This window comes from Homo sapiens, chromosome 11 (genome assembly GCF_000001405.40).
Source record: "Homo sapiens chromosome 11, GRCh38.p14 Primary Assembly".
NCBI lineage: Eukaryota > Metazoa > Chordata > Mammalia > Primates > Hominidae > Homo > Homo sapiens.
The window spans coordinates 77,612,113-77,638,405 of NC_000011.10; the positions used below are offsets into that span (position 1 = coordinate 77,612,113).

The following is a 26,293-nucleotide window of genomic DNA, read 5'->3' on the forward strand; positions in this document are numbered from 1 at the left end:
TCCCTTGCTCCTCTATCTCATACTCACAGAGCTTAGCCTCAACTTGATTAAATCCAACTGTTTGCTTATTCCATGCCTGCACTTGTGCAATAGAATAGCAGCTTTTTTTTTTTTTTTTAAAGATTTGGGGTTGTAGTAGACAGCTGTACATTTTTTGCAATCCAGCATCTAAGCATCCTTCTTACCTGGGGTACTGTGAGCATCTGCACAGCGGCAGCGTCCTTCCACTGTAGAAGCTGAAAGGCCCAGATACTCCTTCTGCCCTTGGCAATGAAGACACACAGTGCCAACCAGAAGTTTGCATCTTAAGTGTGGTGACTCACAGACACAGGGACAATCAAGAAATCAGTCTAACAGCAGCGGAGGAATCATAACATCTTATGTAGATTTCATCTTTTTATGAGCCTGGCTTATTTCAACTTTCCTGTCCATTTAGTGAGCTACCAGATAGCTTTCTAATAAAAATTTTCTGCTTAGGCCAGGCACGGTGCCTCACGCCTGTAATCCCAGCACTTTGAGAGGCCAAGGCGGGTGGATCACCTGAGGTCAGGAGTTCAAGACCAGTCTGACCAACATGGAGAAACCCTGTCTCTACTAAAAATACAAAATTAGCAGGATGTGGTGGTGCATGCCTGTAATCCCAGCTGCTCAGGAGGCTGACGCAGGAGAATTGCTTGAACCCGGGAGGCGGAGGTTGTGGTGAGCCAAGATCACGCCACTGCACTCCAGCCTGGGCAACAAGAGGAAAATTCCGTCTCAAAAAAAAAAAAAAAAAAAAAAATCTGCTTAGTCAGACTTGGATTTACAATCATAATTTGGGCTGATGCAGGGTCATAATTTTATGAACATAAACTGCTACACTGTCCTCATTTGTACTGTTTAGAGGCTTAGACTGCTATATTTTGTGGGAATATATGTTTACCTTTTTTCATAATTCTGTCAGCTATTTACTGCTGCTACTGATAGAACTACCTTTTTCTCCTTGTCAAACCCATTGTGTGCCTAGAAACTAGATATTCAAGTACATCAGACCTGTTTGTAGAGCAAGAGTAGAGATTTGCAGTGAAAGCCTGAGGTCCTGAGAAATAAGTATAGATTTCATGATGTCTAATTGCTCAGTGGATTTTTAAACTTCAAGCTAATCAGATGTATTCTAAACAGTGAGTTGATAAATTTGTAGCTGCTGCTTTCTGTTATGAAAAGGATTACTACTATTAGTAAAAACTATCATCTATTGAGCTATATTCTAGGCACTGTTGTTCTAAGTGCTTTACATGTACTAGTGATTCATGTAATCTCCAAAATAATCCATTTTTTTCATTTGAAATTATGAAGTTCCCCTAGATACTGATTTTACTTATGTAAACATGAGCAGAGTGAGATGTTAGTGAAAATATGTTCCAGCTCCTTCATAAAGGGATGGCAACAATTCTGTGAGGATCCCCATGAGAGACAATGCTTAGAATTCAGTTATTGGTCACAAAAGATGAGTCCCAGATATGGATTCATCCATTCTATACTTTTAAAACAGGATGTGCATGATAATCAGGTATGTAATAGTGAACCCATCTGAAATCCTGCAGATAAATTCTAAGTATCTATTATTTCTGAGCAGTAAGTAATCATACCTGCCTTCTTCTAAAAGTAAAGGACTATACAGATTGAATATCCCTTAAGCAAAATTATTGGGATCAAATGTATTTCAGATTTTGGAATGTTTTTAAAATTTTGGAATAATTCGCATTATACTGGTTAAGCATCCCTAATCCAAAAGTCTGAAATCCAAAATGCCCCAATGAGCAGTTCCTTTGAGCATCATGTTAGCACTCAAAAAAGTTTCAGATTTTGGGGAATTTCAGATTTCAGATTAGGAATACTCAACCTGTATATTATGATCATCTGCACATAATCTCTCACCTTTACCAATATTGAGGAAGCTCCTAACAGAACCTCAAAAATACATAACCACATAACCTTTTTTGATTTTTGAGATGGAGTTTTGCTCTTGTTGCCCAGGCTGGAATGCAACGGTGTGACCTCAGCTCACTGCAACATCTGCCTCCTAGGTTCAAGGGAGTCTCCTGCCTCAGCCTCCCAAGTAGCTGGGATTAGAGGTGCCCCACCACCACGCCCAGCTAATTTTTTGTATTTTTGTAGAGACAGGGTTTGACCATGTTGGCCAGGCTAGTCTGGAACTCCTGACCTCAGGTGATCGACCCACCTCAGCCTCCCAAAGTGCTGAGATTATAGGCATGAGCCACCGTGCCCAGCCCCTATAAAGATTTAAACAAGCTTATGGCCTCAGCTCACTGCAACCTCTGCCTCCTGGGTTCAAGTGATTCTTGTGCCTCAGCCTCCTGAGTAGCTGGGATTACAGGTGCCCACCACCATGGCTGGCTAATTTTTGTATTTTCAGTAGAGATGGGTTTTCACCGTATTGGCCAGGCTGGTCTCAAACTCCTGACCTCAAGTGATCTGCCCACCTGAGCCTCCCAAAGTGCTGGGATTACAGGTGTGAGCCACCACGTCCGGCTGGGACCATATCTTAATGAATACATTTTTTAAATGAAGAACCTAGAACAGAGAACCATTAACCCTAGCTTTTAGGAACATTTAGATGACTTACATTTTGGAGGGGAAATGTCTATGTACCTTTAAAGTGTCTCTACATCAGGAACACACAAAGAAAACAATTCCAGCAACCCTAAAATTAGGCTCAAATGAAATCAATAAATATTGTCTGGCTGATCATTATAAATTTTATCTTTTAAAAGCCTGACCTGCTCTTTTTTCTCAGCTTCTATTTTCTCAATGCTACGGTTCTAACTATCTAGTGAATGTTACAGCTCAATCTTTGAAAGTCACTTAGTCTAATGAGGAAATAAGCCCAGAGAGGTGCCCACATGCTTTGGTCTCCTGCCTTTTTGCATATTGCATTGACCACAGCAACACCAACAAGAAACCAAGTACACTCTGAATCTTCTCGACATTTTGCTATCAGAGCAATTTATGTTCATGGAAAGTCACAATTATAAATTTGTTCCTTTTAAAAGGAACTCAAATGGAATTTCTAATATTAGCCTGTGAGAATGTCCTGACTGATTACTGAAGAATGGACAAACTTCTAGGATAGAATTATGGGTGTTGCTCAGATGGGTAGCAGAGAAACTGGGGAAGCTCTTGTACTGGCCATTGAAATGTTAACACTGAAACCCTGCAGCAGTGGGGAGAGTGTGCATGCTTTCTGCTGCTGGTAGGTGGTAAGGCTGTATGATGTTTTAAAGCACAGGCTCAAAAATCACAATTCACTATCTACATGACCTTAAGCAAGTTATTTTACCTCTCTCTATAACTCAGTTTCCTCAACTATAAAGTGGGATAAAAGCGTATCTCATAAGATAATTAAGAATATTATAATACATAATAAAGAACTCAGGACAGTGGCTAGTACAGAGGTCTCAGTAAATTTTAGTTTCCATTTCAAGTGGCTGTTTTACTTGCCTATTGTTAACAGACTCAGAAATTCTGAGAGTCTGGTTAGAAAAAGGAAAATTCGTTTTTTTTCAGTCTACCTTGCAAGATAAGGGAAACCAAGTGACAGTGCTGAAATGAACACTGGGCTGAGTGGTACCAAACATCAGTTTAGTCACTAATTAGCCATGTGATCCTGTTAAGAAGGTTAGCTTGTATAACCTTATTTTTAAGGACACATAATGATTTCAAAAGTCCAAGTATAAATCAGTAATTACAAATCAGCCTTATAATACCCAGGTATCTATGAAAACTAAAAATTGAGAGTTGATAAATATAAGAAATTACTGCTGATCTAAAAGGAAGTGGCAGAAATCCCCTGAAATGTGTTAAATCTTTGCCTTACTAAATACTTGCCAGAAGCTATAACTATATTTTCTTATTAATTTCATGTTCATCTTCTCAACAAGTAAACAAAAATAAAGCCAACAAAATTCTCATATTTGCCAGCATTATTTTTTAAAAAACATTTCTCATTAATGGTTTTAGTCAAGAATGAGAGCAAAGTAATATAGAAAACCTAGGTTTATTTGTTAAGCTATTACAAAAACAAAACAATTACCATTTGAAGTACTTTGAGGACTTCATCCCAGACTCACTTGTTCTGTTACAGAAACTAACCTAAAAGGCTGGAAATTAAAGGATACAACCTAAGAGGTTATAACAGCAGACTGGTAAAACATGGCGAAAGGAGCTCTCTCTTTCCCCCGCAGTCTACCAAGCTCCTGTGCATTTTCACCACATAGATCTGCTAGCTTACAAATGATGCACACAGTCAAGGTAGGAATTATAGGCCTACTCAGAGGGTACCCAGACACAGAAAGTTTTAGGGTAAATAGTAAACTACAAATACCCTCTTGGTTAAGTTAATTCATCAAGTTAATAAAGGTCATATTATCTATCTTCTGCTGGTGACAACTTGTTGTCTCAGTATAGTCTGTCTCAAGAAAGAACTGGTTCAGGTTGGGTTTTGGAAAAGGAAAAAGACTTTCATTAACTTCACTCCAGAGTGGAAGAGGCACCAAGTTCTCTCCTACACTTAGGAGCAGAATCTGAAAAACAAAAGGTTTACAGTGTTTACAGTAGTGATAATAATAATAGCTACTACTTATTGAATGCCTAGTCACGAGTGCCAGAGGACTTAGGTACATTTTATCTTAGCCTCTGCAACAACCCTGCAAGGTAGGTATTATCCTCCCCATTTTACAGATGGGGGAAGTGAGGATTAAATAAGTTATATGCCTTGTCCAAAGGTGTACACAAGTATGTGGCAGAGTTGTGATTCCACGATTAACGTGCCGTCTCCACCCCACCTCATGCACTGAGAAGTCCTAGTTCCATTATCCTGAAATTATTAACAGTTGCATAAACTACTCTTAATTATTTATTCCTTATTCATTCTTTTAAAGCATGTACAATTTTAAATGATTAAAAATTTACACAGCCAGGTGTGGTGGCTCACACCTGTAATCCCAGCACTTTGGGAGGCCAAGGCAGGCGGATAACCTGAGGTCAGAAGTTCAAGACCAGCCTTACCAAACATGGAGAAACACTGTCTCTACTAAAATTACAAAATTAGCCAGGCGTGGTGGCACATGCCTGTAATCCCAGCTACTCGGGAGGATGAGGCAGGAGAATCACTTGAACCCGGGGGGGCGGAGGATTCGGTGAGCCGATTGCACCATTGCACTCCAGCCTGGGCAACAAGAGCGAAACTCCATCTCAAAAAAAAAAAAAAAAAAAAAAAAATTAGCCGGGTGTGGTGGTGGGCACCTGTAATCCCAGCTATTCAGGAGGCTGAGGCAGGAGAATTGCTTGAACCCGGGAGGCAGAGGTTGCAATGAACCAAGTTGCGCCACTGCACACCAGCCTAGGCAACAGAGCGAGACTCCCGTGTCAAAAAAAAAAAAATGTACAGACATTGTTCGGAATTCAGATCAATTATCCAGATGAAGAATATGTATAAACATTATACATAATGTTTATACATTATAAACAGGGTGCAGTGGCTCATGCCTGTAATCCCAGCACTTTGAGAGGCCGAGGCAGGCGGATCACGAGGTCAAAAGATCAAGACCATCCTGGCCAACATGGTGAAACCCTCTCTCTACTAAAAATACAAAAATTAGCCAGGCGTGGTGGCGCGCGTCTGTAGTTCCAGCTACTTGGGAGACTGAAGCAGGAGAATCGCTTGAACCCAGGAGACAGAGGTTGCAGTGAGCCAAGATCACACCACTGCACTCCAGCTTGGGCGACAGAGCGAGATTCCATCTCAAAAAGAAAAAAAAAAAAGAAAAGAAAAAAAACCGTTATGAATAAAATAATTCTCTGCCTCTGAGCTCTAGGATAAAATTAACAGAAAACAAAGCTCATTAAAAAGTTTGTGGCTATTTCACCATTAAAAAGAATCCTAAGAATTCTTGCCAAGGACTGCAGTAACATCCCATTTGTTTAACTGTTAGTGACATACCAAATGAGTTTCTCATGATTCTGATTAATAATAGAGTGGCTGATGTTCTCTGTATAGTCTATTCTTCAAAAGAAATATGTGAAAGCCCAAAGACCCAAAAATCTGTTTTCTAATTGCAATAAAACAGTTACTAAAACAAGTATCACTGAACTGAAAAAATTAATATGCTATAATGTGATGAGAAATAAGGAAAGAATACTGAAGTTGATATCAAAGGATTTCCCATGAAGTAGAACAGTGAAGTTACTGACAATTGGAACTGTGAGAGCTAAAAATCAAAGTTAACAGAGCTCCAGTGATGTGAACACATGATTTTAACAGAGAAGACATTGCTAATTTTAAACTGTATGGCTACCACTGACAAAAGTAAATGTGGAAATTAAAATTAAGTATTTAAGGGAAAATATAAATCATAGAACTCTAAGAGGTTATTTTCTGATAGTTCCACTGGCAGGATGTGAGAAGAAAGCACAGGTCCAGTATCACAATTCATGGTCAGTATAAGAAGCAATGTTATACAGTTTTCACAATAGCAGTAACTTGGAAGCTAACTGGAACTTTAAAAGGCTGGTTTCTGAAATGAAATAGAACAGGGGTAAAGGAATTAAAACTTGTAACTGGAGAAAAGCCAATGATTACAGAACTAGGTTCAGAACTAAAATCTGTATCAGAAGAAAAGAGAAGGAATTCTGAAATATTTATCATTGCAGGGAATAACAAAGGATCTTATAACTTAACTGGATGACTGACAGTGGTAGCAGAGTCAAGTCAAAACATATAAATCTTACCATGCTATTACTATATGCTTTAGTAAAATAAAAGGAGGCTAGCGAGAGCATCTCAAAGACTGGAGGATAGCCAGTATTCAAGAAAACAATGCTATAAGGTAGGAGGAAGTTGTAGTGGGGAGACAGGGACAACAATTTAACAACAGCTTATAAAGGACTACTACAATTACTGGTTCTAGCTCTGTATGATATGAACATGACCTTCAGTTATTATCTAACATATAGTTGAAATACTTAGGCTGGCAAAGGACAATATATTTCTCAGAATAATGGAGTAGCAAATAAATTGTCAGGAACAATCTGAGGTTTAAAAGAAGAAAAATTTTTTTAAAGAAGGAAAAAGAAATAGGCCAGATACAGTGGCTCACAGCTGTAATCCCAGTACTTTCGGATGCCGAGGAGGGAGAATCATTTGAGGCCAGGAGTTAGAGACCAGCCTGGGCAACATGTGAGACCTTGTCTCTACGTAAAATTTTAAAATAAGCTGGGTGTGGTAAGCATGTGCCTATAGTCCCAGCTATTTGGGAGGGTGAGGCAGGTGGATTGCTTGAGTTCAAGGCTGTAGTGAGCTAGGATCATGCCACTGCACTCTAGCCTGGGTGACAGAGTAAGACCCTGTCTCAAGAAAGAATTTTAAAAAGTAGAAAGTAATCATTTCATATGATTTTCATGATCAGCGACAAGGGAGAAAATGAACTACTCACCTTAAACTTGCATAAATCATTTTCAGTGATCAACATCTGCATCCTCAAACTGTCCAGCAACTGTTGGTGTGGTATCCACCTCCATCCCATCTAAACAAAAAAATTAATTACTGAGCAATCCCTATGAACACTTCAGACAGGTAGATTCAACTTATAACTTCTACCAGAAGGAAGCTAGTGCCCTCTGCTGGTAAGAATTGCTTTTTCCTCTTTTTGGAAAAGTCTGAAGGGACAAACTGAGAAAGAAAATGCTACCTGGGGATTTAGGCCACATCAAAATCAGTCTGCGACACTAACTGTGTAAATTCTCACCCTCAATACTAAAATAACTCTATGTAGGAACTTTCAAATGCAGTATCAATTGTTCACCCTTTACAGATCTAAGTATTTACTGTTAGGCTTTTTAAGGTATACAGCCCTATCCTCACAAAGTGAAAAGACAAAAATCAGTACAGCAAGCTTTTTGCTTATTTCCCTGTTTTTGTCATCTCATTAAATAAAAGGTGGGGAGGGAACAAGAGAAAAAAAACAAGAGCCCTGATATGGTTTGGCTGTGTCCCTACCCAAATTTCATCTTGAATTCCCACGTGTTGTGGGAGGGATCTGGTGGGAGGTAACTGAATTATGGGGGCAGGTCTTTCCCGTGCTGTTCTCATAATAATGAGTAAGTTTCACTAGATCTGATGGTTATATAAGGGGGAGTTTTCCTGCAAAAGCTCTTTTTGCTTGCTGCCTTCCATGTAAGATGTGATTTGCTCCTCGTCTTCCACCACGATTGTGAGGTTTCCCCAGCCATATGGAACTGTAAGTCCAATGAAACCTCTTTCTTTTGCTAATTGCCCAGTCTTGAGTATGTCTTTATCAGCAGTGTGAAAACAGACTAATACAAGCCCCACGGAAAGAGTTGTCTTGGCCAGGCACAGTGGCTCACGCCTGTAATCCCAGCACTTTGGGAGGCCAAGGTGGGTGGATCACCTGAGGTCAGGAGTTTGAGACCAGCCTGGCCAACATGGCAAAACCCCATGGCGAAATCTCTAACAAAAATACAAAAAAATTACCCGGGCATGGTGGCAGGCGCTTATAATCCCAGCTACTCGGGAGGCTGAGGCAGGAGAATGGCTTGAACCAGGAAGGTGGAGGCCAAGGCAGGCAGATCACCTGAGGTCAGGAGTTAGAGACCAGCCTGGCCAACATGGTGAAACCCCGCCTCTACTAAAAATACAAAAATTAGCCAGGCATGGTGGCACATGCCTGTAATCCCAACTACTCAGGAGGCTGAGGCAGAAGAATCTCTTAAACCCAGGAGGTGGAGGTTGAAGTAAGCCAAGATCATGCCACTGCACTCCAGCCTGGGCAACAGAGTGAGACTCCGTCTTAAATAAATAAATAAATAAATAAGACAGAATCATGGCCGGGTGCAGTGGCTCACGCCTGTAATCCCAATACTTTGGGAGGCTGAGGCGGGCGGATCACCTGAGGTCAGGAGTTCGAGACCAGCCTGGCCAACATGGTGAAACCCCGTCTCTACAAAAATACAAAAATTAGCTGGGCACGATAGTAGTGGGTAATCCCTGCTACTCAGGAGGCTGAGGTGGGAGAATCACTTGAACCTGGGAGGCAGAGGTTGCAGTAAGCCGAGGTCACGTTATTGTACTCCGGCCTGGACGACAGAGCAAGACTCTGTCTCAAACACACACACACACACACACACACACACACACAATCAGTGTATATACACACACAAAAGGACACAAGACTGAAAGGATATGCAACAGAAAATTAATAGTAAATGCATCTCAGAATTATATTTATTTTTTTCTACCTCTTCTTTGCCTGTGCATACTTTAAGCCAACATGGTGGAACCTTGTCTCTACTAAAAATACAAAAATTAGCTGGGAGCGGTGGCAGGCGCCAGTACCCCAGCTATTCAGGAGGCTGAGGCAGGAGAATCGCTTGAACCCAGGAGGCGGAGGTTGTAGTGAGCCAAGATCGTGCCATTGCACTCCAGCCTCGGCAACAAGAGCGAAACTCCATCTTAAGAAAAAAAGAAGGGTGTGATAGTTAAATTTATGCATCAACTTGGCTAGGCAATGGTGTCCAGATAGTTGGTCAAACATTATTCTAGATGTTTCTGTGGAGGTTATTTTTTAGATGAGATTAGCCTTGTAAACTGGTGAAAATTGGGTGAAGGAGATTACCCTGCATAGTGTGGTGGGTCTCATTTAATCAGCTGGAGGCCTCAATAGGAAAAAGACTCACCTCCCCTGAGCAAGAAGAAATTCTGCCAGCAGAACTTCTGAGGCAGCAGAATGCAACATAAACTCTTCTCTGGGTCTCCAGTCTGCCGGCTTACCATGCAGATTTTGGACTTGCCAGCCTTCAGTCACGTGGGCCAATTTCTTAAAATCTCTCTCTTGCTTTGGTGGGTGTGTGTATACCTGAAGAGATGCCTGAATTGACAGCCCTCAGAGATAACCTATCGTGGACTTCTAGCCTCCAAAACTATGAGACAATAAAATTCTATTGTTTGAGCCACCCAGCCTGTATGACACTTTGTTATAATAGCCCTAGCAAACTAATACACAGATGCAACAGTAAATTAATAGTGGATATCTCTCAGTTAGAATTACACTTGTTTCTTTTTCACTTCTACTTTCTTGCGCACATTAAAAAAATTTTTTTGACTATGAACAAAGACTTTTTTGGTAATGAGGAAAAAAAATCACTAAAAACAAATGACATAAGCATTCCTATACTATGTAATTCTGTATCTGCTTCCTATACTATAGAGAGTCAATTCTTTCTCTTAGTTATTAAAAGAACTTCTATTGACTATCCATAACTTATTGCCCAAGTGCTCATCTGACTGTTCACACTGCAAAAGGACACTCACCTTCATAATCTCTTATTGAATCTTCTGTCCTGACCCCAGCCATATTATACTGGCTGCTCACAGACTGAGAAAGCATTCCTTCTAATCTCTCCAGTGTGGCTTGGCCTTCTGCTGTTAGATGGGATAATCCTTCTTCATAGGTGTAAAATGTAGGGATGTCCCCCTGTCCTTGTTCTAAACAAACAGAAAACTTTAAAGTTTAAATACAACAATTAGAAAAAACAAAATGGAATCAATAATATATCTGCCGCCAGCCTGGCCAACATGGTGAAACCCTATCTCTACTAAAAATACAAAAATTAGCCAGGCGTGGTGGCACGCGCCTGTTGTCCCAGCTACTCAGGAGGCTGAGGCAGGAGAATCGCTTGAACCACAGAGGTGGAGGTTGCAGTGAACCGAGATCACGCCATTGTACTCCAGCCTGGGCAACCGAGCAAGACCTTGTCTTGGAAAAAAAAAAAAAAAAAAGAATCTGCTGAAGATAATATACTGTCCAAATAGGCTTCCAGGAAGATACTTTTGAACATTTATTTATACACACATATAGGCTACTGCTGAAGACAGAAATACAAAGAAGATGTACCTACTCTCTAGGGTTATTAAAAGAGATAACAAGCCAGTAAACAGCAATTCCCAAAGAATCCCAAGTCCAGGGACTAGAAAAAAAAAGTGTGTTCCTAAGGTCAGAGAGTCCTACATTATCCTGAGGTGGGAATTTTACAAGTGAGCACAAATTAATTTGGTATTAATTTGTAAAATGAAGATGTTTTCTGATTAAAAAACATGCTCCTTTCTTAAAAAAAATCAGGGCCAGGTGCAGTGGCTGACGTTTGTAATCCCAGCACTTTGAGAGGCCGAGCTGGGAGGACTGCTTGAGCCCAGGAGTTCAAGATCAGCCTGGACAACATAGTAAGACTTCATCTCTCCAAAAAAATGTTTTTTTTAATTAGCCGGGCACGTGGTGTGCACCTGTAGTCTCAGCTAATCGGGAGACTGGGGTGGGACAGCTTTGGTCCAGTAGTTCAAGGCTGCAGTGGGTGGAGAATGGTACCACTGTATTCCAGCCTGGGCAACAGAGTTAGACCCTGTTTAAAAAAAAAAAAAAAATTAGAAATTCTGGAACATACAAAAAGGATGAAAAATTTTAAATCACTCAAAAATCTCAGAAAGATAAGGATATATTTGGATATATTTAGGTATGTGATGGCGGATCCCAGAAATGTGTTTATCTCAGGCCAGGAAGTGGGTACATATGAAGGAAAGGGCTTTGGATACCCAGATTGGTGTACATAAGACCAGTAGGGAAAAGAAAAGAGAACAGCAGGTACTTCAAGCTATAAAGACTCTTATCACGCTAGTGACTGCATTCTGGTCTGGGGGAGGCAATCGGAAAGGGCTCTTAAATAAATGAAGTATGGTTCTGAGAAAAAGAAATGACCTTGGCAGTGAGCTGTTTGAAGGAACATGTTAAATAAAGATGCAGGCCAGGCCCGGTGGCTCATGCCTGTAACCCAGCATTCTGGGAGGCCAAGGCCAGAGGATTGCTTGGGCCCAGGAGTTGGAGACCAGCTTGGGCAATATGGCAAAGCCCAGTCTTTATAAAAAATACACAAAAATTAGCCAGGCATGGTGGCGCAAGCCTGTAGTCCCAGGTACTCAAGAGGCTGAGCTGGGAGAATCATTTGAGTCCAGCAGGCAGAGGTTGCAGTGAGCAGAAATCACACCACTGCACACCAGCCTGGGCATCAGAGTGAGACCCTGTTGCAAAATAATAATAGTAATAATAAAACAATATAAATGATCCAGGTTCTCAAGGTGTAGAGAGAGAAGCTTGTTCTCTGGGGGCAGCTGCCTCAGCTTAAAAGACTTTCCTGACCATCCACTTCCCTATCTACCATTTTCTTTCCTCCCATATGCTCTACTTACCCATTCTTCCCCATAACAATCTCTATTTCTTACACTCAAAAATTTGTCTGTTGCAAAGGGCTTTGGCATAAAGTGTTCTACCGTGTCATTCTATTTTAATAATAATCTTACCAGCCAGGCACAGTGGCTCACACCTGTAATCCCAGCACTTTGGGAGGCCGAGGCAGGCGGATCACCTGAGGTCGGGAGTTCAAGACCAGCCTGACCAACATGGAGAAACCCCATCTCTACTAAAAATACAAAATTAGCCTGGCGTGGTGGCGCATGCCTGTAATCCCAGCTACTTGGAAGGCTGAGGCAGGAGAATCGCTTGAACCTAGGAGGCAGAGGTTGCAGTGAGCCGAGACCACGCCATTGCACTCCAGCCTGGGCAACAAAAGCGAAAACTCCATCTCAAAAATAATAATAATAATTTTACCATACTGCATACTTTACAGTCATATAAAGAACTATAATCCTCTACCCTTAATACAAATAAATGCTTAAAATGAAACACTAAACAAACAAAAAACCCACTTTAAAATCCATTTCACTAACCATGTGCTTCCACATCATATTCTTCTCCATCGTAGTCATCTGAATCCTCATCCTCAGGATCTGGATGCAAGGCCTGGCATTCGCACATTGCAGTGAACATTGCCTCCACTGAACAAGGAAATTAAACTGTAACCAATCTTTTTTTGTAATAAAAGTAACCATCAGTGCAAATAAATTTAATGGGTACACAAAACGCCACAGTATTTACAAAATCTGCCAAATTGTAAGATCAATCTTGAAAGCGGTTGAAGCAAAAGACAAGTCATAAAATAATAAGAGTTCATTATGAGAGATCATTGCAATCTCTTCATGGCTCGTGGGATTTTCCAAGAAAAAAGGGTCAGAGTCCTGGTAAGACTGCTGGCATCAGGGTGAAGGGTGAAGACTGCTCTCAGCTGATAGGGCTCTTTCCAGCCATCCTGAGATCTTCCACTTTAAAACTGCCATAACTCCTCTGCCATCCAGCAGGTGAGATTAAGTCAACAGCACCAATCAGTAAAACTAACCAGAGTCCACTCACAAAATATACCCAGATGACAGAGTGTCTACAATATTCTCACTACATTCACAACCTTTGATATTAATAGGTATTTGGTCCTTAATGATATTACCAATGCTAAAATAAAGAAAAAGCAATAGAATGGAGGTAATGGTGGTAAAGGTGAGAGGTGTGTGTGTGTGTGTATGTGTGTGTGTGTCAATTGGGAATGCTTGGTATGTAAAAGGGGAAGAATCAATACTGTAGAACACTCACACGCTGATTTATCACTAGGCACAAATCTAAATTCAGTAATAGGTTCAACATCATCATCACTGTCTTCCTCTTCTTCATCAGCAACAGGTTCTTTTGATTCTTCTAGAAAATAAAATACCCTTTTAATGTCATTATTTGACTTTAAAAAAATGAAGCATATTGAAAATCTGAATATTGCAATTCAATTTTAATTTCCAATTATGGTTGACAAATTTATTTCCAATTATGGTTGAAAAATTCTGATTATACAGTGAGCATCCTAGAAAAGCCTTGCCTCGATCTCCTGACCTCGAGATCCACGCACCTTGGCCTCCCAAAGTGCTCCCTCCGCGCCTCACCGGGAATGAATTTTTAAGGTTATTTTTAAGGTAATCTAATCTCATCAACAATGAGCTAAGGGTCAACTTTTTTTTCTGAGACTGGGACTTGTTTTGTTGCCCAGACTGGACACCCTTGCCCTCTCAGGCCCAAGCGATCCTCCCACCTCAGCCTACTAAGCAGCTGGGACTACAGGCACTTGCCACCACACCCTGCTAATTTTTGTTTTTTTGAGATGGGGTCTTACGATGTTGCCCAGGCTGGTCTGAAACTCCTGGGCTCAAGTGATCCTCCTGTCTTGGCCATTCAAAATGCTGGGATTGTGGCTGGGCACGGTGGCTCACGCCTGTAATCCCAGCACTTTGGGAGGCCGAGGTGGGCGGATCACGAGGTCAGGAGTTTGAGTCCAGCCTGGCCAATATGGTGAAACCCCGTCTCTACTAAAAATACAAAAATTAGCAAGGCGTGGTGGCAGGCGCCTATAATCCCAGCTACTCAGGAGGTTGAGGCAGGAGAATCATTTGAACCTGGGAGGTGGAGGTTGCAGTGAGCCAAGATCACAGCATCGCACTCCAGCCTAGGTGACAGGGTGAGACTCCATCACAAAAAAAAAAAATGCTGGGGTTACAGATGTGAGCCACTATGCCCGGTCCTGATGGTCATTTTTTTTTTTTTGAGACGGAGTCTTGCTCTGTCGCCCAGGCTGGACTGCAGTGGTGCCATCTCGGCTCACTGCAAGCTCTGCCTCTTGGGTTCACCCCATTCTCCTGCCTCAGCCTCCTGAGTAGCTGGGACTACAGGCGCCCGCCACCACACCTGGCTAATTTTTTTGTATTTTTTTTAGTAAAGACGGGGTTTCACCGTGTTAGCCAGAATGGTCTTGATCTCCTGACCTCGTGATCCGCCCGCCTCAGCCTCCCAAAGTGCTGGGATTACAGGTGTGAGCCACCGCGCCCAGCCCTGATGGTCATTTTTAAAGAGACTTACAGAGGTATGCCAAAGAGAAAAAAAAAAAACTTAGAGCTTAGAGAATCAGAATGCAAGGAACAAAGGCTGGGAAAATATGATTCAAGCACATGTAATTTATGAGAGGAGTTTAAGATAAAAAGAACTAAAGGGCCAAGCGAGGTGGCTAACGCCTGTAATCCCAGCCCTTTGGGAGGCTGAGGTGGGTGGATCATGAGGTCAGGAGATGGAGAGCATCCTGGCCAACACAGTGAAACCCCAACTCTACTAAAATACAAAAAAAAAAAAATTAGCGGGGCGTGGTGGCGGGAGCCTGTAGTCCCAGCTACTCGGGAGGCTGAGGCAGAAGAATCGCTTGAACCCAGGAGGCAGAGGTTGCAGTGAGTCAAGATCGCATCACTGCACTCCAGCCTGGCGACAGAGCAAGACTCCATCTCAAAAAAAAAGAAAAAAAAAAAAGGAACTGGAGAATTAGTGAAATAAATGTGACCCAGAAAGATACTAATTTCTAGTAAGATAGGAAATCCTGCATATCTTACTAAGAAAGGATTAATCATAATCACATCAATTACAACCAATCATATAGATTCTGTATGATTATAGAGCACATATTTAAAACACACACCCTAAAACCTACTGAACTGCTTTTTCCTAGTTTAGGACTCAGAGCATTTGCATTTTAAACAAGCTTCCCATGTATTTCTAATGTGTATCCATTAGTCTTGAGTTTGGGAACAAGAGACTAATATACTCCCTTAACTTTTTGGATGAAATTCAGGCTCAGAGAAATGCAAATGACTTGCCTAGCAAGTTAATGACAGAGTTCTTACTTTTTTTTCTTTTCTTCGACCGTTTTGCTCTGTTGCCCAGGCTGGAGTGCAGTGGCGCGATCTCAGCTCACTGCAACCTCCACCTCCCGGGTTCAAGTGATTCTCATGTCTCAGCCTCCCGAGTAGCTGGGATTACAGGCACCCGCCACCACGCCCAGCTAATTTTTGTATTTTTAGTAGAGACAGGGTTTCACCATGTTGGCCAGGATGGTCTCGATCTCTTGACCTTGTGATCTGCCCCCCTTGGCCTCCCAAAGTGTTGGGATTACAGGTTTGAGCCACTGTGCCCGGCCTAATGACAGAGTTTTCTTATTCAATGTGCTTTTGCCCTTAGGCTAGTATTTATTAAATGCTATTTCCTAAGCCTTTCTCTTGGCATGTACCTTTCCCACCTCCAATGGCCGTCACTATTTGGGGCCATTTCACACCAGCATCTGGAGTTGACTGACAAGAGCAAGGTTTCGCATTTCTGCAAATGAATGAATGCTTTAAACTAAACATGACACATAATATTCTTGGTTATAAAATCATAGTTGCATTTACTTAGATGGAGAGTAAATTTTGTGCCAAATGCCTTATTAGGAAGTCTTACTACACTACTACACCCCAAGGTTAACAGCCTTTTACTTTTCCTCATCCTCTTTTTCAAACTTCACTAGATTTTTAAATGTCTTTGAACCTTTTCCAATGGCAAGAATTTGAAATCTTATAACAAAAATATTTTCAGATAGCTGAATCAGTCATTACCACTTAATGAGGCAGGTCTTGCCAAAAGTCCTAAGAATTACTAAATAGTTTCACACCTGAATATAAATGATCATATTATATCTGGAACCATATTAAAATCTAAATTTGAAAGAGCAATAGCCTTGTAGGTAACTTCATAGGATTGTCTCTTACACACTACTTCAAAGAAAAGCAACCCGTTATTTTAAACATGAGCATCTTCACTAGACTTTTACAAGTCTTTGCAATTATCCCAAAGCAAAACTTGAGAATCTTTATATCCTACAGTTTCTCAACCTTGGCACTACTGACATTTGGATGGAATAATTCTTTGTTGTGGGGGACCATCTGTGCATAGCAGAATATTTAGTATAATAATAGCATCCTTGGCATCTAACTGCTAGACACCAATAATACCCTTCCTCTTTCAACCAAAATGTCACTGCCAAATGTGGGGGAATGGTGAGGTTGGTGGAGGCCCATGGAAAATATATCCCCCCTACAACCACTGAGACCCACTACTGAAACAAAACAAAACAGTTCTATCTTAAATTATGAGAAGCACAGGGTATACTGATCCAAGCCCCTAAGGGTGCCTTTTAAAAAGAGAAAGGCAGAATAAACAGTGAAACTTTAGAGGAAAAGCTAGAAATACATATCCATAATAAATGAAGAATTCTAAGTGTAAATATAGAGAAATATATACAGACACACATGAACATCCATTGTGAAAACTTCAAGTGTCCAAGTTGCTGTGCTGAAATTTTGCTTAATAAACTACTACCCAAAATGAGTCAATGGCCTCAATGTTACATTGATTATTATCAAAGACTCTTTTTTTTCTTTTTTTTTTTTTAGACGGAGTCTCACTTTGTCGCCCAGGCTGGAGTGCAGTGGCATGATCTCGGCTCACTACAAGCTCCACCTCCCAGGTTCACACCATTCTCCTGCCTCAGTCTCCTGAGTAGCTGGGACTACAGGCGCCCACCACCACGCCTGGCTAATTTTTTGTATTTTTTAGTAGAGACGGGTTTTCACCGTATTAGCCAGGATGGTCTCGATCTCCTGACCTTGTGATCCGCCCGCCTCGGCCTCCCAGAGTGCTGGGATTACAGGCGTGAGCCACCGTGCCCGGCCTCAAAGACTCTTTTTTAAAATATAATTTGCTATCAAAGGAGGCATTAGATTAAATTACACCATACATACCTTCAAATTTGGCATTCACCATAACATACAAATGCTCTCCTAGACAGTCACTTCGGTCCCTGGATAATGCATGTAAACTAATGGTGGGGTATTCCAGTGAGAATCCTAATCCAGAGCCATCTAACCAAGACAGGCGGCTGAAAAACATGTTTTAAGTAGATTATTTTTAGAAAGTAAATCCTCATGTAAGACCACAAAGTATATAAAAGTTCAGCTTGGACACCTTTATGCATATAAATAAATTCAAGTTTACTTTTTTAGAAACGTTCATAAAATAAGAAAATTCAGTAGTGGAAACTGAGTTTTCTTTAAGATCAATTCTGTTACGGTCTCTTTCCCTCTAGCTATAAATTCAAACAGACTTGAAATTCCATTTTCCTCAGTCACATGTATGTTTCTATGACTTTCATGCTTACTCTTTTTTGGTATGTCTTCAAATACCCTCTTTGCTTTTGCAAATCCTCCCCTCTTCCATGAGGCCTCCCTTCAACTACACCAGTCCATAAAGATCTCTTCCTTTTCTGATTTGCAAATTTTAGCACTTAACTCTGTGGTAATGAGTCTTATATGTGCCCTTATGGAATGTGAACTATCGGACAGCAGAACTTGTCACATTCCTTTATTAACATCCTTCAAAACCGTTAACAAAGAGCTCAGGAGTTAAGTATGCAATAAATCCTTGGTAATCATGCATTTCTCCATGAATCCTACACTAAAAGACATATATATGAAATGGCTGTAATCACACTCACCGCAAGTCAGGAAATAATTATTACCCTGAGAGACAGATTCCCTGAAGCCTTTCATTTATTCAACGTCTTTAAGAGAAAGCCACAGAAAAGCTAGATCTAGTTTTCCCTCAAATGTGGTCAAATGCAAATATTTTATTGGTGTAACAAAGGAAACACATCACCAAAATCAGTATTTTGAGCTTTCAGTAGAGGCTAGCTAATTTTCTGATAATACTTCATCCATCTGGAGCTGTACCACTTAGCAGAAAAAAAGTAAAAAATCCTGAAGAAGTCAAAAAAAAAATGTTAATGCAATATAGTGGTTGCCTAGGGCTAGAAGGAAATAGGGAATGTCTGCTACTGGGTACCAGGTTCTTTTTGGGGTGAAGAAAATATTCTAAAATGGTGGTGATAATTGCACAATTCTGTAAACAGACTAAAAACTAGTGAATTGTATGTTTAAATGGTTAAACTGTATGCTATATGAATTATTTTTAAAAGTTAATGAAGTAAGACCCCTGTATCATTCTATATTCTATACAATTTTAACAAGCCTGGCTGTCTAATTTCTAACCAAGCAAAAACAAAAGTAAAACAGGAGAACCTAGGACTGCCTTGGGCAGGAACAATGACAGTGTGACAGTCTGAGATCACTCATGTTCAGTGGAAGGGGAGGATGAACTTTCCACCTCAGTTCCCCTAAATGAAATCAATGTCTAACCACATGACCCTCAGTTACCGAAAGCATTACCAAAAACAAAGGCAGATTATTAGATTGTGGTGATAACTGTACAACTCTGTAAATATACTAAAACTTACGTAATTGTATACTTTTTTTTTTTTTTTTAGACAGAGTCTCGGTCTGTCGCCCAGGCTGGAGTGCAGTGGCGGATCTCGGCTCGCTGCAAGCTCCGCCTCTCGGGTTCACGCCATTCTCTTGCCTCAGCCTCCCCAGTAGCTGGGACTACAGGCGCCCGCCACCACACCCGGCTAATTTTTTGTATTTTTAGAGACGGGGTTTCACCGTGTTAGCCAGGATGGTCTGGATCTCCTGACCTCGTGATCCACCCGCCTCGGCCTCCCAAAGTGCTGGGATTATAGGCATGAGCCACCACACCCTGCCCCTAATTGTATACTTTCAAAAGGCAAAAGTAAGAATATATGCACTGTCATGTGGAAAGATTTCTATCCAACATTCTTATTAAAAAAAAAAAAGTAAAGGAAAACTAGGAAGCTTATAAGTGATAAATCTTTGTTTTTTTGAGATGAAGTCTCACTCTGTCACCCAGGCTGGAGTGCAGTAGCATGATCTTGGCTCACTGCAATCTCCACCTCCAGGGTTCAGGCGATTCTCCTGCCTCAGCCTCCCAAGTAGCTGGGATTACAAGCGTGTGACACCACGCCTCGCTAATTTTTGTATTTTTAATAGAGATGGGGTTTTGCCATGACGGCCAGGCTGGTCTCAAACTCCCGACCTCAGGTGATCTGCCACCTCGGCCTCCCAAAGTGCCAGTATTACAGGCGTGAGCCACTGCGCCTGGCCTAAAAGTGATAAATCTTAAAGAGCTAAAAGTGATAAAACCTCTACAAATTGTTTTCCAGAACAACTCATTCCTACTGGTTCCAAAGAAACATTGTATTATGTAATGAGGTTATGTGCTGTATGCATCTTTCCTGCCCACTGCTTTCCTTTTAATGTGGAGAGGAAATAATGCCCAAGTATCACGAGTCCCCTACAAAAGCTGTATTATTTTAAAGCAAATAAACTGCCCTTTTCTGATCTCAAAAATTTTCTGGCGTTATCACAATTCAGAAAGAAACATTCCAAATTTGGGTGTCCAAAATAATTTCAAATATCCAGAGCCATAAAACTTGAATGACTCAATGACGACATGGAAAAACTGAAACCTAAACATAGAATGAGTGCCTATCAAATTATGGCCTTCACTTTTAAAAGCCATCATAATACCTCTGTAATTCCTTACTAGTGCAGAGAGAATACAAATGCTCCTCTGCACAGCATTTGCTATGGAACTCTCATAATCTTTTACATGAACTGGGATTATGCATTCTATAGGACAGAAGCCAAGTTCCACACTTAAAAACACTTATTCTAATCGTTAAATTCTTTTTTTTTTAAATAAAAAAAGAAAAGAAACCCTAGGTTTCTGTATTTTACTTTTTCAGATTTACAAATGCAAATCATATATTAATATTCACAGATATTTTTAAATGGGAAAACAACTTACTTTCAACAACTTATTTTTTCCAACAGCATGTTACTATGTTAAAAAAGATTTGACATTATAAGCCGAGCGTGGTGGCTCAGGCCTATAATTTTGGGAGCATTTTGGGAGGCCGAGGTGGATGGATCACCTGAGGTCAGGAGTTCCAGACCAGACTACCAACATGGCGAAACCCTGTCTCTATTAAAAATACGAAAATTAGCTGGGTGTGGTGGCAGGCACCTGTAATCCCAGCTACTTGGGAGGCTGAGGCAGGAGAATTGGTTGAATCCAGGAGGCGGAGGTTGCAGTGAACCAAGATCACGCTACCACACTCAAGCCTGGGCAACGGGGAGACTCCATCTCAAAAAAAAAAAAAAAAAAAAAGAGATTTGACAGTACATTCATTTAATCTGGCAATTTTAATTTGAACAAATACCTATTAACAACAAATTAAATCCTATTGCACATGAATTATTTGTTGCACCACCACCAGATTTTCTAATTCTAGCAGAGGCCACGATGAAATAGGCCAGACATGCTGCCATTAAAGTTTGCTGGGATGATTGTAATAAATCTACTGAAAGTATTCAAGTTCTAACTTTCAAAGTGATGTAGAGAAACATAAAAGATTTCACTGTATCATCTAAAAATATAACTGTTTTGTCTGATCATTAAATTCTGATTTGCATTTACTCTTTGTATATATTCTAGAAGAAATCCTTCTAAAACATTTAATTAATCATACCCAGTTCCAAAGAAACCGTGAGTCAAAAGGGAAAGACAAGAAGAATTAGACACAGAGTAAACATGTAGAGAACATGTTTTGCTGAATTCAAATGCTTTTGCACAAGTATGGTGAGTGTCCTTTATTCCCAGCACGGGATGAAAAACAGGACAGGAAGCTAAGAGAGGTCTTGAATTTGGGTTAACTTAATTATTTGGTTTAAGATTAATTTTGGAATGAGATACAAAAAAAAAATTTTAAGTTTAAATTACCTAATTTTAATTTGATTACCTATTTTACCTGTTTTAAACTGTCTATTTTATATTATTCATGCCTCTGTATCTTCCTTATTTGGATAAAAATTCAACTTCCTGGCCGGGTGCAGTGGCTAACACCTATAATCCCAGCATCTTGGGAGGCCGAGGCAGATGGATCATCTAAGTTCGGGAGTTTGAGACAAGTCTGACCAACATGGAGAAATCCCATCTCTGCTAAAAATACAAAATTAGCCAGGCATGGTGGTGCATGCCTGTTAATCCCAGCTACTCGGGAGGGTGAGGCAAAAGAATAGCTTGAACTCAGGAGGCGGAGGTTGCGGTGAGCCAAGATTGCGCCATTGCATTCCAGCCTGGGCAACAAGAGTGAAACTTCATCTCAAAAAAAAAAAAAAATTCAACTTCCTATAAAAAACTAAGCTCTGAAATAAGCCGGAGATTCTAAATCTTTCAACACAAATCTGAGAGACTAAACCAAGTCCAGCCAAACCTAATCTGTTGCTGTCCCTCTCTGCCTCAAACTAAATAGTTTCACCAAAGCCTAAAGGCTATAAGCCAAATTTATGAACATGACTCTCTCCTTCTCCAGCTTTATCATCTCTGGGCATTCTCCCTCACTCCCTCAGATGAAGAACGGCTGGACTGTATATATATGTACACAGTATGTGTGTGTATTTATACCCTTTTTTTGTATTTATGTTTCACACACAAAAAAATTATTTTGGCCGGGCACGGTGGCTCATGCCTGTAATCCCAGCACTTTGGGAGGCCAAGGTGGGTGGATCATGAGGTCAGGAATTTGAGACCAGCCTGGCCAACATGGTGAAACCCCGTCTCTACTAAAAATACAAAAATTAGCTGGGCGTGGTGGAGCACGTCTGTAGTCCCAGCTACTCAGGAGGCTGAGGCAGGAGAATCGCTTAAACCCGGGAGGCGGAGCTTGCAGTGAGCCAAGGTCGCGCCACTGCACTCCAGCCTGGGCGACAGAACAAGACTCTGTCTCAAAAAAAAAAAAAAAAAAAAAATCTTAAAGAAGAAACATAAGAGATTTGTTTGTGAAAAGCTGAAACAAATAATGTTTAATTTTTTTCAGAGACAAGGTTTCACTCTGTCACCCAGGCTGGAATGCAGTAGTGTGATCACAGCTCACCGCAGCCTCAACTGCCCAGGCTCAAGTAATCCTCCCACCTCAGCTCCCCATAGTAACTGCCACTACAGGCACGTGCAACCACGACCGGCTAATTTTTGCAGTTTTTGTATTCTTTGCAGAGATGGGGTTTTGTCATGTTGTCCAGGCTGGTCAAGAACTCCTGGACTCAAGGGATCTGCTCACCTTGGCCTTCCGAAGTGCTGCGATTACAGGCGTAAGCCACCTTGCCCAGGCTAAGAATTTTTTAAAAGCTGATAAGAACTTAAAAAGAGTTATACTTCCTTAGTATGAGAATTGTATTGTGGTTATACAAGATAATGTCCCTGTTCTTCTGAACAGGAAGTGGAAAACGTCGACAATTCTCAAATGGCTCAGAAAAAAAAGAAAAACAGAGACATAAACATGGCAAAATGTTAACTAATAAATCTTTGTGAAGGGTGTATGGGTAGTAATAACACAACTTTTCTTTAGGTTTGAAATTTTTCTTTTTTTTTTTTTTTTGAGACAGTCTCACTCTGTCACCCAGGCTGGAATGCAATGGCATGATCTCGGCTTACTACAACCTCCGCCTCTCGGGTTCAAGCGATTCTCCTGCCTCAGCCTCCCAAGTAGCTGGGATTACAGGTGCACGCCACCACACCCGGATAATTTTTGTATTTTAGTAGAGACAGGGTTTCACATTGTTGGCCAGGCTGGTCTTGAACTCCTGTCATCAGGTGATCCACCCGCCTCAGCCTCCCAAAGTGCTGGTATTACAGGCGTGAGCCACCACACTGGATCTTAGGTTTGAAATTCTTCTAAATGCAAAAATCAATACAGGACTGTCCCTCAAAAGGAGTTATAATACTGAAAGAAGCGTCAACATACAGAAATGTCATGAATAAAAAAGGAATGCCTGGGAACTAGGAATGTATCTGTGCTCCATCTTCCACCACTTCAAAGAAACTGCTTTCCCCAATTATCAAAGATCTCCTTGTCAATACTCAATATATGCTCTTCACATTTTGTTTTGACTGCTCCTTCCTCCTTTCTCAAGTTTCTTCTTTCATGACCCACCCGTCGGCGTATCCCTAGGGTTCTACACTTGGTCCTCTTCTCTTCTGAGATATCTAATCCATTTCCATGAGTATACACTAACACTTTAACGACCTCCAAACATCTCTCTTTAATACCACTTTCCCAAGATACACATTCTTTTTTTATTTTTATTTTTTTTTTGAGACAGGGTCTCACTCTGTCATGCAGGCTGGAGTGCAGGGGCACAATCACGGCTCACCGCAGCCTCGACCTCCTGGGCTCAGGTGATCCTCCCACCTCAGTTTCCTGAGTAGCTAGGACTACAGGCCGCCACCATGCCTGGCTAATTTTTGTATTTTTTGTAGAGACTGGGTTTCGCCATGCTGCCCAGGCTGATCTCAAACTCCTGGGCTCAAGCGATCTGCCTGCCTCAGCCTCCCAAAGTGCTGGGATTACAGGTGTGAGCCACCGCGCCCGGCCCAACACGGTCATATGTACAACTACTCCACACATGTCCTGACCAAACTCATTATCTGCCTCTCACCTCAATCTTGCTTTTCCTCCCATCCATATGTCCTATCTCAGTTTCTGGCCTGAAGCCTAAACCTTGTTCAATGTCTAAATTTCCCTTTAAAGCAGAGGTTCTTTACAGTTTTTGTGCTCTGGATTCTGTAGTAGGCAGAATTTTGGCCCCACGACCTTCACTTTCTGGTGTCATGCGGGTGAATATGTTATATTACACAGCAAAAGGGACTTCACAAACGTAATTAAGGTTACCAGTCGACAGTAACATAGGGAGATTATCCTGGATTTTACAGGTGGTTCCAAAGTAATCACATGAGCTCTTAAAAGTAGAGAATTTTCTCTGGCTGTAGACAAGTGATGGAGCAAAAGGGGAAGCAACACATATCTGAAGGGCAGGAAAGATTCGATGTGTCATTACAGGCTTCAAAATAAAGAAAACTGCATGTCAAGGAAACAGGGACCTCTGTTCTACAACCACAATATTTACGGTAGATCTATCTGACTGTCAAAATACCAAAGTGCTCCACGTGGCCAAATAAAAGGGCAATTCCTTCCAGGACCCCAAAACGGGAGTCTGGTCCCTCTGCATATGACCCCTGTCTGTGTCGAGTTAAGGGTGTTCCTCTCCTTACTATACCTACAGAAGAAAATCTTTATTGTGTAACCAAACTTTAAAAGTCCTCCACAGTCGGCTCTGAAACTACGTATCCCAGAGAGGGGAACATCTCCTGCATCTGTTCATCCGGAAAGACAGGCACACTTCAGACCCTTAAAACCAGACCGTGCGTTAAGGGCAACGCACGCGCCAGACCTCCAGTAAATAGGCGAGTTAAAAAAAAAAAAAAAAGAAAATAAAAGAAAGAAAGAAAGAAAAGAAGAAGAAAGAAAGAGAGAAAGAGACAGAGAAAGAGAAAGAGGAAAAAAAGAAAAAAAAAAAAAAAAAGCACAATCCATAAGGGGAAATTCCGGCCGGAGAAAACAGAGAATGGAAGACTCCGGAGGAGTACTAGAAAAATCGAGCCTTCCACCCGCTACAGGTATCCCTGAGGCGTCGGGCACGAGACCCCGCTCCCAGCAGGCCTCCAGGCCGCCCCTTGCCCGGCTCCTTCGCACCGCCTGCTCCAGCAAGGAGGAGGGCGGCGCGCAGGAGGCCAGCGCTGGGGACCAGGAACCCTACCTCTCAGCGATGTAAAGGGTACCAGTGCCGAGGCCCTTCCCGTTCAGCACAGCCTCAGTGTCTGGCTGCTGCCGCAGGAGCCCCTCCGCTGGCCCAGGCGGCGGGAAACTTTTGAGGAAGCTCATAGCAGCAGAGTGCGGCAACACAGGCCCTGAGGGAGTTGGAGCACAGCAATGCGTGCACCACACCGCCCGCCCTGGAAGAGGCAGTCACCCCGGAAGAACAACTTAGTCTGCCCCGGAATCTGAACGCCGTCGACCATAGAGATGAGACATTCTAGGAAAAGCGGCGGAGGTCGGCTAAGAACGTGTGGAGTTTGACCGCGCAACACCCTTCCCCTTCTTCCTCGCCATTTCTGAGGCTTTGGGCTTCAATAACTGAGGGTTCTGTGGGAAGTCCCTCAGGATTGTCACAGTGAAACCACCACTGCAAAATTATAACTGAGACACTGAAAGCGATCTGACCTACCCAAATCCATGTTGTTTCTAACCTCCAAACTGTCCTTGTTCATTGCTGGATATAGGCTGAACTAACTTTGGGAGGAACTTAGTTTACAGTTTGAAGTTTAAAACAAAGATGATGACAGCCTTTTCCCAAAACAAACTTCCTTCTTGCCTGGGGACTGGACTGCCTTTGTAGGACTAACAAATCAGCCACAAGATTAGAAATTATGGTTTAGATTAGAAATTACAGCTGCAAGCTACAAGATTCTGACCCTCCCTAAACTGCACCTAAGATCGGTGCTTGAGATATGTTGCAGACCCTGCACTTGATGGATCAGCTGGCACCACCAGATGGATAAACTGGCTATGTGAT

General features: G+C 41.6%; 1 protein-coding gene across 5 annotated transcripts, besides 2 other annotated features; it reads right to left on the bottom strand.

Annotated features, from left to right (window-relative positions):
- Positions 1 to 2,417: 2,417 nt before the first annotated feature.
- CLNS1A (chloride nucleotide-sensitive channel 1A) lies at positions 2,418 to 25,682 on the bottom strand. 5 transcript variants are annotated; one of them, NM_001293.3, is made up of 7 exons: positions 25,478 to 25,682; positions 17,651 to 17,787; positions 13,605 to 13,706; positions 12,851 to 12,958; positions 10,388 to 10,561; positions 7,494 to 7,583; positions 2,418 to 4,583 (listed from the first exon to the last, which is right to left on the bottom strand). In NM_001293.3, exons 1-6 carry the CDS (start codon positions 25,600 to 25,602, stop codon positions 7,516 to 7,518), a joined length of 714 nt encoding a protein of 237 aa, NP_001284.1. In that variant the 5' UTR covers positions 25,603 to 25,682; the 3' UTR covers positions 2,418 to 4,583; positions 7,494 to 7,515. The 5 variants fall into 5 exon arrangements, with proteins under 5 accessions (NP_001284.1, NP_001298129.1, NP_001298130.1 ...); NM_001311199.2 differs by lacking the exon at positions 2,418 to 4,583 and adding an exon at positions 6,428 to 6,575; NM_001311200.2 differs by lacking the exon at positions 13,605 to 13,706.
- Positions 25,410 to 25,929: an enhancer, noted in NCBI's record as "H3K27ac hESC enhancer chr11:77348567-77349086 (GRCh37/hg19 assembly coordinates)". NCBI's record gives its function as "activates a minimal SCP1, AML or CMV promoter by ChIP-STARR-seq in naive H9 embryonic stem cells {active_cell/tissue: H9 hESC(naive)}" and the evidence as "EXISTENCE:reporter gene assay evidence [ECO:0000049][PMID:30033119]".
- Positions 25,584 to 25,823: an enhancer, noted in NCBI's record as "active region_5308". NCBI's record gives its function as "activates an Ori minimal core promoter by ATAC-STARR-seq in GM12878 lymphoblastoid cells {active_cell/tissue: GM12878}" and the evidence as "EXISTENCE:reporter gene assay evidence [ECO:0000049][PMID:35858748]".

What these genes read in the sequence shown, in the direction of transcription:
- CLNS1A (NM_001293.3), bottom strand. Translation starts at nt 25,602, where the DNA reads ATGAGCTTCCTCAAAAGTTTCCCGCCGCCTGGGCCAGCGGAGGGGCTC. An exon ending in ACCCTTTACATCGCTGAGAG is followed by an intron (nt 17,788 to 25,477) that starts GTAGGGTTCCTG and finishes CATGTTTTTCAG; the next exon opens with CCGCCTGTCTTGGTTAGATG. An exon ending in TTCAATAAGAGATTATGAAG is followed by an intron (nt 7,584 to 10,387) that starts GTGAGTGTCCTT and finishes TTTTTTGTTTAG; the next exon opens with ATGGGATGGAGGTGGATACC.